Source organism: Homo sapiens, chromosome 22 (assembly GCF_000001405.40).
Source record: "Homo sapiens chromosome 22, GRCh38.p14 Primary Assembly".
NCBI classification, from domain to species: Eukaryota; Metazoa; Chordata; class Mammalia; order Primates; family Hominidae; genus Homo; species Homo sapiens.
This window is the reverse complement of record NC_000022.11, coordinates 31,107,590-31,120,861: the sequence shown is the minus strand read 5'-3', so window position 1 is coordinate 31,120,861 and position 13,272 is coordinate 31,107,590. Positions and strand designations below refer to the sequence as shown.

At 47.5% G+C, this 13,272-nt stretch overlaps 2 long non-coding RNA genes and 1 pseudogene across 2 annotated transcripts; 1 reads left to right on the top strand and 2 right to left on the bottom strand.

Moving 5' to 3' along the window:
* The first annotated feature begins 559 nt into the window (after window positions 1-559).
* LOC105372995 (uncharacterized) lies at window positions 560-13,226 on the top strand. Its single transcript, XR_938163.3, has 3 exons — window positions 560-979; window positions 12,759-12,791; window positions 12,976-13,226. It is a non-coding gene; the product is annotated as an uncharacterized LOC105372995 (long non-coding RNA).
* Window positions 7,434-7,868, bottom strand: RPS15AP37 (ribosomal protein S15a pseudogene 37; annotated as a pseudogene).
* LOC124905100 (uncharacterized) lies at window positions 10,410-12,980 on the bottom strand. The gene is made up of 2 exons (XR_007068063.1): window positions 12,754-12,980; window positions 10,410-10,883 (listed from the first exon to the last, which is right to left on the bottom strand). It is a non-coding gene; the product is annotated as an uncharacterized LOC124905100 (long non-coding RNA).
* Window positions 13,227-13,272: the final 46 nt, after the last annotated feature.

Here is a 13,272-nt window from a genome sequence, read left to right as displayed (position 1 = left end):
TGCAGAGGGCTCCTCTGCCTCAGGAGGGCAACCCAGGATTTCCCACCACCCGCTCCCTGAGCTCAGACCCTGCAGGGGACTTTGTTTCTGGCCCTGCCACTGACTTACTTGAGGAGGTCACTCTGATTCCCAATTTGTGTAAGGGAGATTAAAACAGCAGACACCTCCTAAGTTTGCTGGTGAAGATTCAACAGGATAATATATATGAAATGTTTAGCATAGAGCCTGCCTGGCACAGCAAGCTCTCCATAAAGGTGGCTGCTCTGTATTTATCATCATCATCATCACCACCATTGACTTCAGCCTGCCCATGTGGTGGATGCTGAAACAGGCTGAGGGTGGTTACTCTCCTGGGAGGACAAGGAAGGGGCTCTGAGACCCAAGCCTGGTCTTGTCAGGAGAAGGGGGTAGGGGGCGGACCCCAGCTGAAAAGGGAGTGAGTTGGAGCTATATTTGAGCTCCTGGTGTGATGACTAAGGAGGTTGATAACAGGCTCTGGGGCTCAGGGCGGCAGGCTGGGGGCAGCTGTCAGGGAGAACCGCCCCCCTGGAGACGGCTGTCTCTGGAGGCCCTTTCTGGCTCCCTCCTTGCCCTCACTCTTGGTGGGGGAGGGGGGTGGGCGTACTGAGGCAGGGTCCAGGGCTCATCCAGCCCACTCCTGGAAACTCAGTGCTGTCCTTCAGGCTGTGTGGGTCAGGGATAGGAAGGCAGGATGCCAGTGATAGATGGAGTATCCCAGTTACTCTCCATAGTAACCCTGTGAGGTTGGTAATGAGGCCCCCATTGGACAGAGGAAGAAACCGAGGCCCAGGGATTACACAGCCAGTAGAGAGAGGACAGAGCATGGAGCTCCTGGAGAGGCAGTGGATAATTCTTCCCGACAGAGGAGCTGACTGTTGAACCCCTTCTTTGAAGGAGAGTCCGTGCTGCCAAATCGAAGAAGAGAAACGCCCTGGCTGGAAAGCAGAGAGAACAGCAGGTACAAAGCATGGATGGGGAAGGAAGGTTCTGGCTGTGAAAGGATGAGAAATTTGGACATGTACCCTCCTGCCCTTTGGTTCGGAGTAAACATGAGCAGGGAAGGGAGAGAAGTCTTTCCTGTCTTTTTCCTCCTCCTCTTCCTCGGTTCACTTTCCAGGGGCACCTGAGGATGGCAACGGTACCGAGGGTCTGTCCTCCTTCCTTTCTCTCCCTGGTCACCCTGACCCAGGCCCGCCATGAGGGAGGTCATGCTATGGCTACCATCTGCAAAGGTGTAGAGGGTGATACAGGATATTGTGGGAATGTGAAAGAAGGGGTTATCTGGGAGGGCTTCCCTGAGGAGGAAGTATACAGGGCACAAAAGAGCATTTCTTCTCCCAAGGCTTCACTCCAGGGTTTCTTGTTGGTAACAAGCTTCACATGTTATGTCCCCAGCACTTCATTCTCACCCTCTGAGGCAGATGTCATCCTCACTCCCCATTCTGCCACTCAGGAAATGGGCTGGAGGAGGAGGAGTGACTTTCCCAAGGTCACACAGCTGGGGCTGAGCTCAGGCCTCTCTCCTCCTTCTCTTCGGCTCCCCCTCCTCCTAGGCAGCCCAGCACCCGCTGTCAGCTGCTCTGAAGTGAGTGGCTATTTTTATTCTGGTGCGAGGGGATCTCAAGCAGCAGAGCCATGTAGGTTAGAGGCTCTAGGACACCCGGCCTCAGCAGTCCAGGGGAAACTTCCTGCAGCCACCAGACCCTGCTAAGCTTGCCTGGGGGCTCTCATTTCTTGCAGACTGACTTGCTCTGGGCTCCTATGCCTCCAGAAGCTTCTTTATTGGAGCTCAGAACAGAGCATAGAGCCAGATTAAGCCCTGGTCATGGTCCTGATCCTCCAACTTGAACCCGACTCTTGGTATTGACTAAGCCTCTACTCCAGCTCTTGACTGAGCTCTGACATCACCTTAGAATGAACCCTGACTCTAGTCACATACTGATCTAAGCCTGAATTAGGCTGATCCCAACTTGAGACCTTAGTTCTGGGCCCAGATCAAGCCCTTATCCTTCTCTAAGACTGAGCCTTAGTCACAGACTGAATTCTAGCCCCAGCCCAGACTAACCTTTTAGACTGACTCTGGCAGAAGAGTCAGACTAACCTTTTAACCCTGACTCTGGCAGAAGACTGAGCCCTAATCTTGGTCAAAGACTGAGTCCTGAGCCTAATCATTGACTGAACTCTGACCACAGACTGAATTCTGACCCTGGATCATGCAATTCTGGTCACACACTGAGCCCTAAACGGAAGACTGTGCCCTGAATCTGGTCACAGACTGAGCCCTGAACTTAGTCATTGACAGAGACATGACCCTGGTCACAGACTGAGCCTGGCTCCTGGTCACAGACTAAAGACTAAGCCCAATCATGGACTGAGCCCTGTATCTAGCCCTAGGCTACAGACTACTCAACTAAGGGCTGACCTAGACCCTGTCTGAGCCTGACCCCATCACAGACTAATCCCCAACCTTGGCCCCACTTGAGGAAGACTGCTGGCCTAAATTACATGCTGCCACATAAGAGGCATGGATTATGGGCAGAGATCTGTCTTGGGAGATCTTGGGCTTCTCATGCTGCTGATGCCACAGTGTTCCTTCCTGGTACTGTTATGGTCACAGTCTCCACCACTGGTTCCACTGGCTGGTTGGTCAACCCTCAGCAGCCCAAGCTGTGGCCTTTAGGGGCCACAGCATCCAGGCTAATGCAATGAGAGTGGTTTGGTGGCATCTGTCCAGCAAACAACCAGGGCCCATGGGGTACTGGGGTTTGGCTCTGTCAGCAGCAAGAACGACTCCGTGGGGCCTCTGGCTTCAGTTACTCTGAGGCCCTTGCTGGGGTAGGGGTTGGAGTAGAAGGAAATAGTGGGGTATGTCCCATTATTTTCGTAAATAAAGTTTACTGTTTGTGTTTAGGTAATCCATGCCCATTACACAAAACACAGAAGGAAAACATTTACCTATAATTTCATCCACCAAGAAATAATCGTTCTGACTTATTGGTTTGTTTCCTTATAGATATTTTTTGGTGGGGGCGGGGGTCTAGGCATATATATTTATATATACATGTTGTATATAATATGCATATATATTTATATACATGTTGTATATAATATGCATATATATTTATATACATGTATATTTACATATACGTGTTATATATTTTATATAGCTATATCTATTTTTTGAGATGGAGTCTCACTCTGTCGTCCAGGCTGGAGTGCAGTGGCATGATCTCAGCTCACTGAAACCTCCACCTCTGGTCCAAGCAATTCTCCTGCCTCAGCCTCCCGAGTAGCTGGGATTACAGACATGCACCACCATGCCCAGCTAATTTTGTATTTTTAGTAGAGACAGGGTTTTGCCTTGTTGACCAGGCTGGTCTTGAACTCCTGGACTCAAGTGATCCACATGCCTTGGCCTCCCAAGTGCTGGGATTACAGGCGTGAGCCACCAAGACTGGGCCTATACATGTTTTATAGAATTGGTTGGTTACTGTGTTGCTGCCACAATGTCCAGCAACACAGTAGGGTTAGGGTTAGGGTTAGGATCCTGTTAAGGTTGCAGCCCATCTCCTTCTTAACAGGAACTGGAATATGGTGGACCCCACCCTCAGCTTCAGGAATGGGTCCCAGTTGGTTAAGCCAGTAAGCAATTCCCATTTCCCCAGGCACATGATTAGATCACGAATGAACTAGCAAGATACAAGGAAATTTTTGCTCAGGGCTTTTGGGAAAGGAAGCTTATTTTCTCTCCTGAGGAGGCTGCCAAAAAAGATGATCTTCCTTCCATTAGATGTAAATGAAGAGGCCAATGGCTCTAGTTACTGCTGGCAGCCATCTTTACACCATGTAGAAAATTGGCCTACTGATAAACTGACATTATGGAAAGCAGAATGGAGAGACACCAGGCTTTGGTGACTTCATTAACTGGATCAAACTTCACCTGAAGCCCCACCTGCCATTGGACTTTTTTTTTCTTCTTTTTGAAATGGAGTCTCAATCTGTCGCCCAGGCTGGAGTACAGTGGCACGATCTTGGCTCACTGCAACCTCCGCCACCCAGGTTCAAGCGATTCTCCTGCCTCAGCCTCCCGAGTAGCTGGAGTTACAGGTGCCCACCGCTGCGTTTGGCTAATTTTTGTATTTTTAGTAGAGACGGGGTTTCGCCATGTTGGCCAGGCTGGTTTCAAACTCCTGACCTTAGGTGATCTGCCCGCCTCAGCCTCCCAAATTGCTGGGATTACAGGCGTCAGCCACTGTGCCTGTCCTGGACTTTTAAAATTATTTGAGCCAACAGAGTCCCTTTATTTATTTATTTATTTAGAGACTGAGTGTCGCTCTGGCACCCAGGCTGGAGTGCAGTGGCGCAATCTTGGCTCACTGAAACTTCCACCTCCCGGGCTCAAGCAATTCTCTTCCTCAGCCTCCTAAGTAGTTGGGATTACAGGTGTGCACCATCATGCCCAGCTAGTTTTTGTGTTTTTAGTAGAGAGGGGGTTTCACCATGATGGCCAGGCTGGTCTCCATCTCCTGACCTCAAGTGATCTGCCTATCTCGGCCTCCCAAAGTGCTGGGATTACAGGCATGAGCCACTGGGCCCAGCCCCTTTATTTTTATTATTTTTTGACACAGGGTCTTACTCACATTGCCCAGGCTAGAGTGCAGTGGTACGATCTTGGCTCACTGTATTATTTTTTATTTTTTATAGGAGATGGGGTCTCACTCTGTCTCCCAGGTTAGAGTGCAGTGGCATGATCATAGCTCACTGTAGTCTTGAACTCCTGGGCTCAAGCAGTCCTCCCACCTCAGCCTCTGGGGTAGCTGGGACTACAGGCACTGCCATGCCTGGCTAGATTTTAAATATCTTTTTTTAGAGATGGGTTCTCACTATGTTGTCCAGGATAGTTTGGAACTCTTGGCCTCAAGTTATCCTCCTGCCTCAGCCTCCTGAGTAGCTGGGTTTATAGACACAAGCCACCACAACCAGCTCCCTTTATTGTTTAAGCCAGTTTAAATTGGGGTTTCTATGACTTGCAGCCCACAGCATCACAACTCCCAATTGATATTACCAGATTACTGTTTTTGTTGCTTTTTTCTTGCTATTTAATACCATAACCACGAACATTCTCCATGTCATTCCATCTATGCTGCATCTTTTTTTTTTTTTTTGAGATAGAGTCTCACTCGCCCAGGCTGGAGTGCAGTGGTGCGATCTCAGCTCACTGCAACCTCTGCCTCCTGGGTTCAGGCAATTCTCTTGCCTTAGCCTCCCAAGTAGCTGAGATTACAGGCAGCCATCACCATGCCCAGCTAATTTTTATATTTTTAGTAGAGATGGGGCTTCACCATATTGGCCAGGCTGCTCTCAAACTCCTGACCTCAGGTGATCCGCCCACCTCGGCCTCCCAAAGTGCCGGGATTACAGGCGTGAGCCACCCACGCCCAGCCTGCTGCATCATTTTTAACAATTGCATGGTTTTCCATCCTATGGAGGTACACTCATTAATTTAACTCATCCCCTGCTGTGACATGCTTAGGTTATATCCCCAGTTCTTCACCACGATAAATGGTATTCTAATAAACAAGCTTGACCTAACAATCCTCTCTCTGATGATTACTTTGGGGCTAATTCTGAAAAATGGAATTACTGGGTCAAAAAAAGTTTTTAGAGTTTTGATTTTGCCCTTCAGAAAGCCAGGGTGAATTCATACTTCCCCAGCAGTGAACAGAGTGTTAGAGATAGCTTACTGTGTGAATAGTCTGGACAAGACTAATCATATTGACTACATACTCATATTATATATATATATATATATATATATATATATATATATATATATATATATTTTTTTTTTTTTTTTTTTTTTTTTTTTTTTTTTTGAGACGGAGTCTTGCTCTATCACCCAGGCTGGAGTGCAGTGGCACAATCTTGGCTCACTGCAGCCTCTGCCTCCCGGGTTCAAGTGATTCTCCTGCTTCAGCCTCCCAAGTAGCTGGGATTATAGGCATGCACCACCATGCCTGGCTAATTTTTGTATTTTTAGTAGAGACGAGGTTTCACCATGTTGGCCAGGTGGCCTCGAACTTCTGACTCAAGTGATCTCCCTGCCTCAGCCTCCCAAAGTGCTGGGATTATTGGTATGAGCCACCATGCCCGGCCAAGCCTATTATTTTTATATCTTTACAATCAAGTTAGTAAAGGGGAAGTTAGCAGGGTGCAAACAAAAGACTCAGTGCAGACTTAACTTCTCTAGAAGGCACAGTAGGCTCAGTGTTTAGGGCCCACTATACTTTTAGGGGGTCCATGAAAGTGTTTTTTTTTTTTTTTGAGACGGAGTCTCGCTCTGTCACCCATGCTGGATGGAGTGCAGTGGCGTGATCTCGGCTCACTGCAAGCTCCGCCTCCCGGGTTCACGCCATTCTCCTGCCTCAGCCTCCCGAGTAGCTGGGACTACAGGTGCCCGCCACCACGCCTGGCTAATTTTTCGTATTTTTAGTAGAGACGGGGGGGTTTCACTGTGTTAGCCAGGATGGTCTCAATCTCCTGACCTTGTCATCCGCCCGCCTCGGTCTCCCAAAGTGCTGGGATTACAGGCGTGAGCCACCGCGCCTGGTCGAAAATGTTTTTAATATTCTTTAAAATTAGAAGGATACACTGGGAAGTTAAGGTTAAAAAAAAAAGGAAACATATACTAATAATAATGAATCCAGCCTAGATTATAGTTATCTTTTTACCAAAGCAATTGAAAATCAAATATATATAATATTTATGTATATTATGTATATTTAATGGAGGCATGTGTCCATATCCCAGCTACTCAGGAGGCTAAGGCAGGAGCATTGTTTGAGGCCAGGAGTTGAACACTAGCTGGGACAACACAGAAAGACCCTGTCTCTAAAAAAAAAAAGAAAAAAGAGGCCAGGCACAGTGGCTCATGCCTGTAACCCCAGCATTTTGGGAGGCGGAGGCGGGCGGATCACTTGAGGTTGAGACCAGCCTAACATGGTGAAATCCTGTCTCTACTAAAAATAAAAAAAATTATCCGGGCATGATGGCACGCTCCTGTAATCCCAGCTACACAGGAGGCTGAGACACGAGAATCGATTGAACCTAGGAGGTGGAGATTGCAGTGAGCCAAGATTGTGCCACTGCACTCCAGCCTGGGCGACAGAGCAAGACTCCGTCTCAAAATAAAAATAAAAATTAAAAAAAGAAAAAAGAAAGAAAACCCTAGGATCCATGAAAGTCATAATGCAGCCTTGGCTCGGTATTGAGAAGGAGTCCCTAGATTCAATGGGAAAAGAGGACAGTGACGAACTTGCTGTGTCTGTGGAAGAAAGCATGAAGAAGAGAACTGGCATCCTAATCTGGTGATCTGGTGATCCGTTCTCCTTTTTTTTTTTTTTTTTAATTGTAGGCATTTTATCTGCAAATGCATATTACCTCCTTAGAAAAAGAATTCCAGGATTTTACCTCCTGTGTGTTTTCGTCTTGCTTCTTTGTGATCCATGATGCCAGCTGAGGTTGTGAGTACAATGAAACCCAACTGGCAGGATGGGAGCAGATTATTCTGCCATTTTTCTAGATTTTTGAGTTGCACATCAAATCAGGGGCTGATTACTCCACACTTGTTTAACCTGCCTGTGAGGTTCACAGCAGTTTTCCTAGCTCTGTGATCATCAATGACTTCAACTTCACCAGTGTAACTATGCTTCATCACCACAGTTAGAAACCAGACGACGACATTATAAGAACCTGGTGTTTGCCTCTCTTTTGGCATTGTTGATGCTCTTGAGAGCATCAGCCGGGACATTCATGCACACCATTATGGCAGCACATGGCAGAAAGAGCTATCTGCTTATGTATGAGATTGAGAGGTGAAGCCAGCTGGACTTCCTGGGTGGAGTGGGGACTTGGAGAAATTTTCTGTCTAGCCAGAGGATTATAAATGCACCAATCAGCGCTCTGTGTCTAGCTGAAGAATTGTAAATGCACCAATCAGCACTCTGTAAAAATGCACCAATCAGTGCTCTGTGTCTAGATAGAGGATTGTAAATGCACCAATCAGCACTCTGTAAAATGGACCAATCAGCACTCTGTAAAATGGACCAATCAGCAGGATGTGGGCGGGGACAAATAAGGGACTAAAAGCTGGCCGCCACTGCCACCCTTCATCCCCAGCCAGCAGCCGGCAACCTGCTTGGGTGCCCTTCGGTGCTGTGGAAGCTTTGTCCTTTCGCTCTTCCCAATAAATCTTGCTGCTGCTCACTCTTTGGGTCCTCACCACCTTTAAGAGCTGCAACAGCCTGTAATCCCAGCACCTTGGGAGGCCAAGGTGGGCGGATTACGAGGTCAGGAGATCAAGACCACCCTGGCTAACACGGTGAAACCCCATCTCTACTAAAAATACAAAAAATTAGTTGGGCATGGTGGTGGGCATCTGTAGTCCCAGTTACTCGGGAGGCTGAGGCAAGAGAATGGCGTGAACCCAGGAGGCAGAGCTTGCAGTGACCTGAGATTGTGCCACTGCACTTCAACCTGGGGGCGACAGAGCGAGACTCCGTCTCAAAAAAAAAAAAAAAAAAAAAGAAAGAAAGAAAAGAAAAATAGAAAAAAGAGAGTTGTATCACTCACCGTGAAAGTCCGTGGCTTCATTCTTGAAGTCAGTGAGACCACTAACCCACTGGAAGGAAGAAACTCCAGACACATTTGAAGGAACAAACTCTGGACACACCATCCTTAAGAGCTGTAACACTCACAGTGAAGGTCCGCGGCTTCATTCTTGAAGTCAGTGAGACCACCAACCCACTGGAAGGAAGAAACTCCGGACTCTCAAGATGAGTGCAGAGACATGTTGGGTTCAAGTCCCAAATCCACAGTTCACTCATTTCACCTTTCTGAGCCTGTTTCCTAACCTGCAAAATGGAGTTCACGGGGTCTTTATGAGGTAAGGAAGGAACTGATAATGAAAGCTAACACTGTCCTAGTAGGTACTTTTTTTTTTTTTTTTTTTTGAGTCAGAGTCTCATTCTGTCGCCTGGCTGGAGTGCAGTGGCGCGATCTCGGGTCACTGCAACCTCCGCCTCCCAGGTTCAAGTGATTCTCCTGCGTCAGCCTCCCGAGTAGCTAGGATTACAGGCATGCACCACCACACCTGGGTAATTTTTTTGTATTTTTAGTAGAGACGGGGTTTCACCATGTTGGCCAGGATGGTCTTGATCTCTTGACTTCGTGATCTGCCCGCCTCAGTCTTTTTTTTTTTTTTTTTTTTTTGAGACAGTCTCACTGTGTCGCCCAGGCCGGAGTGCAGTGGTGCGATCTCGGCTCACTGCAACCTCCACCTCCCGGGTTGAAGCGATTCTCCTGCCTCAGCCTCTGGAGTAACTGGGACTACAGGTGCCCGCCACTATGTGCCCAGCTAAATTTTTTTTTTTTTTTTTGAGACAGAATTTTGCTCTTGTTCCCCAGGCTGGAGTGCAGTGGCGCCATCTTGGTTCACTGCAACCTCCGCCTCCGGGTTCAAGCAAATTTTCCTGCTTCAGCCTCCCGAGTAGCTGGGATTACAGACATGAGAATCATGCCTGGCTAAGTTTTGTATTTTTAGTAGAGGTGGGGGGTTTCACCATGTTGGTCAGGCTGGTCTCGAACTCCTGACCTCAGGTGATCCACCCACCTTGGCCTCCCAAAGTGCTGGGATTACAGGCATGAGCCACCATGCCCGTCCTGTATTAGGTACTGTTCTAATGAGCTTTATATGTGTTAACCCCTTTATCCTGCCAATCCCAACAGGGTACACAATATTGCATCACCACAATGTGTGCTCTGGGAAGTAAAAACCTTGATTGGAATTTTTGTCCAAAGAAATAAAAAGGCCAGGTGGAGTGGCTCACACCTGTAATTCTAGCACTTTGGGAGGCTGAGGCAGGAGGATCACTTGAGACCAGGAGTTTGAGACCAGCCTGGTCAGCAGCAAGACCCCGTAATCTACTGAATAAACAAACAGCGCAAACAGGGATTCCCTAGGGTTCGGTTTTCCTATCTCTTTTTTTCTACAACCAAATTGGTTTATTACAGGAATGCAAGGTTTAACATATGAAAATCAGTTCACATATTTTACCACATTTAATAAAATAAAGGAGAAAAACCACATGATCATCTCAATAGATGCAGGAAAACATTTGACAAAGTTCAACATCCATTCATGATAAAAGCTCTAAGAAAAATAGAAATAGAAAACTTTCTTTTACAAAAGGCACCAGTAACAAACCTACAGCAAACATGATCGTTTAAAGATGATATCTGGAAAAAGACAATTATCAGTTCCAGTCAACATTGTACCAGAGGCCCCAGACCGTAAAATTAAGACAGTGCAACGAAACAAAACCAAGGTATAAGGACCAGAAAGGAAGAAAACCACTTTTATTTCCAGATGATATAATATGCATATGTAGAAAATAAAAAAAAATATCCAGTTAAACTATTAGAGTAAGAAAATTCAGTAAGGTCACTGGCTGCAAGGTTAATATACAAAAATCAATTGTCTTCCTATATGCTACTACCAAGCAACTTGAAAATGAATATGTAAAAACAATAGAGTTTGTAATGCTATAAAAAATTAAATACCTAGGAGTAAATCTAATGAAAGATATGCAAGATATTTATTCTAAAAACCACAAAATATTATTGAAGGAAATTAAAGAAGACCTATAGAAATGGAGGGACTTACTATGTTCGTGGAAGAAAAGTCACAATAATGTAAAGCTGTAGAGTCTCCCCACATTGATTTCCCCAGTGGGAATCTGAAATCCTGATAGAAATTTGGAAGGTTTTTCTGTGGAGGTTGACGAGCTGGCCCTAAATTGTACCTGGAAGTGTGAAAGGCCAAGTATAGTCAAGACAACCTTCAAGAAGAACAAAGCTAGACTGCGATGGCTTACTGAGGCTGTGGGATCACACATGGCCCTCACCACAGGAAAATGTAGGCCACAGGCCAGGCATGGTCGCTCATGCCTGTAATCCCAGTACTTTGGGAGGCCAAGGCAGGAGGATCACTTGAGCCCAGGAGTTTGCGACCAGCTTGGTCAACATGGTGAAACCTCGTCTCTACTAAAAAGACAAAAAATTAGCCGGGTGTGGTGGCCGACGCCTGTAATCCCAGCTACTTAGGAGGCTGAGGCAAGAGAATCGCTTGAACCTGGGAGGCAGAGGTTGCAGTGAGTCCGGATCATGCCACTGGACATGAGAGTGTCCAGCCTGGACAATGAGAGTGAAACTCCGTCTCAAAAAAAAAAAAAAAAAATCAGCTGGGCATGATGGTGCATGCCTGTAGTCCCAGCTACTCAGGAGGCTGAGGTGGGAGGATTGCTTGAGCCTGGGAGGTTCAGGCTGTGATTGAGCCACTGCACTCCAGCCTGGGCAACAGAGCAAGACTCTGTCTCAAAAAAAAAAAAAAAATAGCCAGCCCAGCAGCTCACACCTGTAATCCCAGGACTTTGGGAGGCCAAGGCGGGTGGATGACTTGAGGTTAGGAGTTCGAGACCAGCCTGGCCAAGATGATGAAACCCCCATATTTACTAAAAATACAAAATTAGCTGGGCGTGGTGGTGGGCACCTGTAATCCCAGCTACTTGGGAGGCTGAGGCAGAAGAATCGCTTGAACCTGGGAGGTGGAGGTTGCAGTGAGCTGAGATCGTGCCACTGCACTCCAGCCTGGCTGACAGAGCAAGACTCTGTCTCAAAAAAACAAACAAACAAAAAAACAAAAAAAAATGGGCCAGGCGCAGTGGCTCACACCTGTTATCCCAGCACTTTGGGAGGCTGAGACGGGCGGATCATGAGATCAGGAGATCAAGAACATCCTGGCTAACACAGTGAAACCCCATCTCTACTAAAAATACAAAAAAATTAGCTGGGCGTGGTGGCGCGTGCCTGTAGTCCCAGCTACTCGGGAGGCTGAGGCAGGAGAATTGCTTGAACCCGGGAGGCGGAGGTTGCAGTGAGCCGAGATCAGGCCACTGAACTCCAGCCTGGGCAACAGAGCGAGACTCCGTCTCAAAAAAAAAAAGAAAGAAAGAAAGAACAAAGCTAGAGGACCAACACACAACCAGATGTCAAGTCTGACTATAAAGCTATAGTTAATAAGACAGCGTAGTTAGACAAACCCACTGAAGGACTAGAATAGGGTATGATATTCAGAAGTAGACTCCCATATATTTATATGGTTACCTATTTATTTATTTATTTATTTTTGAGACAGTCTCTGTCGCCCAGGCTGGAGTGCAGTGGTAGGATGTCGGCTCATTGCAAACTCTGCCTCCCAGGTTGAAGTGATTCTCCTGCCTCAGCCTCCCAAGTAGCTAGGATTACAGGCGCCCACACCACGCCCAGCTAATTTTTGTATTTTTAGTAGCGATGGGGTTTCACCATGTTGGCCAGGCTGGCCTCGAACTTCTGACCTCAAGTGATCTACCCACCTCGGCCTCCCAAAGTGCTGGGATTACAGGTGTGAGCCACCACGCCCGGCCGTGGTTGCCTATTTATATATAACAGAGGTAACGCGGCAGAGTAGCAATGAAAAAGACAAGATTTTTAATTGAATTGGATAGCCACATTAAAAAAAAAAGTAAATCCTGACTCCATAAATTTAACCCAGCTGATTTAAGACCCTGTTGTGGCCTATCAGCTGTAACCCTCCTTGCATTTTCCCACCTTTGAATAGCAAATTCCTTTCCTCACCCCAGGTCAGAAAGTCTGCTCAGCAGTAGCTGTGGATGGTAAGAAGACACGCTGGTAGGTCTCAGTGGCTCCCAGAAGCCGCACCCCCTCCACCGAACCTCACTCCTCATCTCCCACGCTCCAAAGCGAGGAGTCCTCAGAAAGCCAGTTTCCCTTATTTATTCTTCTTTCTTTCTTTCCTTTTTTTTTCTTGGATGTCCTACCAGTTTCCCTATCTTAAAGTCGCAGGTTCGGCTCAGAAACTCCAGTGTCCCTCAGCGTCTCGCCGGCACCCTCTGCCGGCGTGAGGTGGCGCTGCCTGGCCGCATCCTGGGGGAGCGTCCACATCCTCGGTCGACAAAAGGAGCGTCGACACTCTCGGACCTGGGAAAGTGACGGCCCAAACGCCAGGGAGGAGCCAGGACCTCGCCCTGAGCTAGCGGGAGGTAACGGCGGGGAGTCCTGGGGCGGAGACCGAGCGCTGGGGGCGTGGTCTCCAGCGGGACTGGGCCTCTAGCGGGAGTGGGGGCGGGGGCGGGG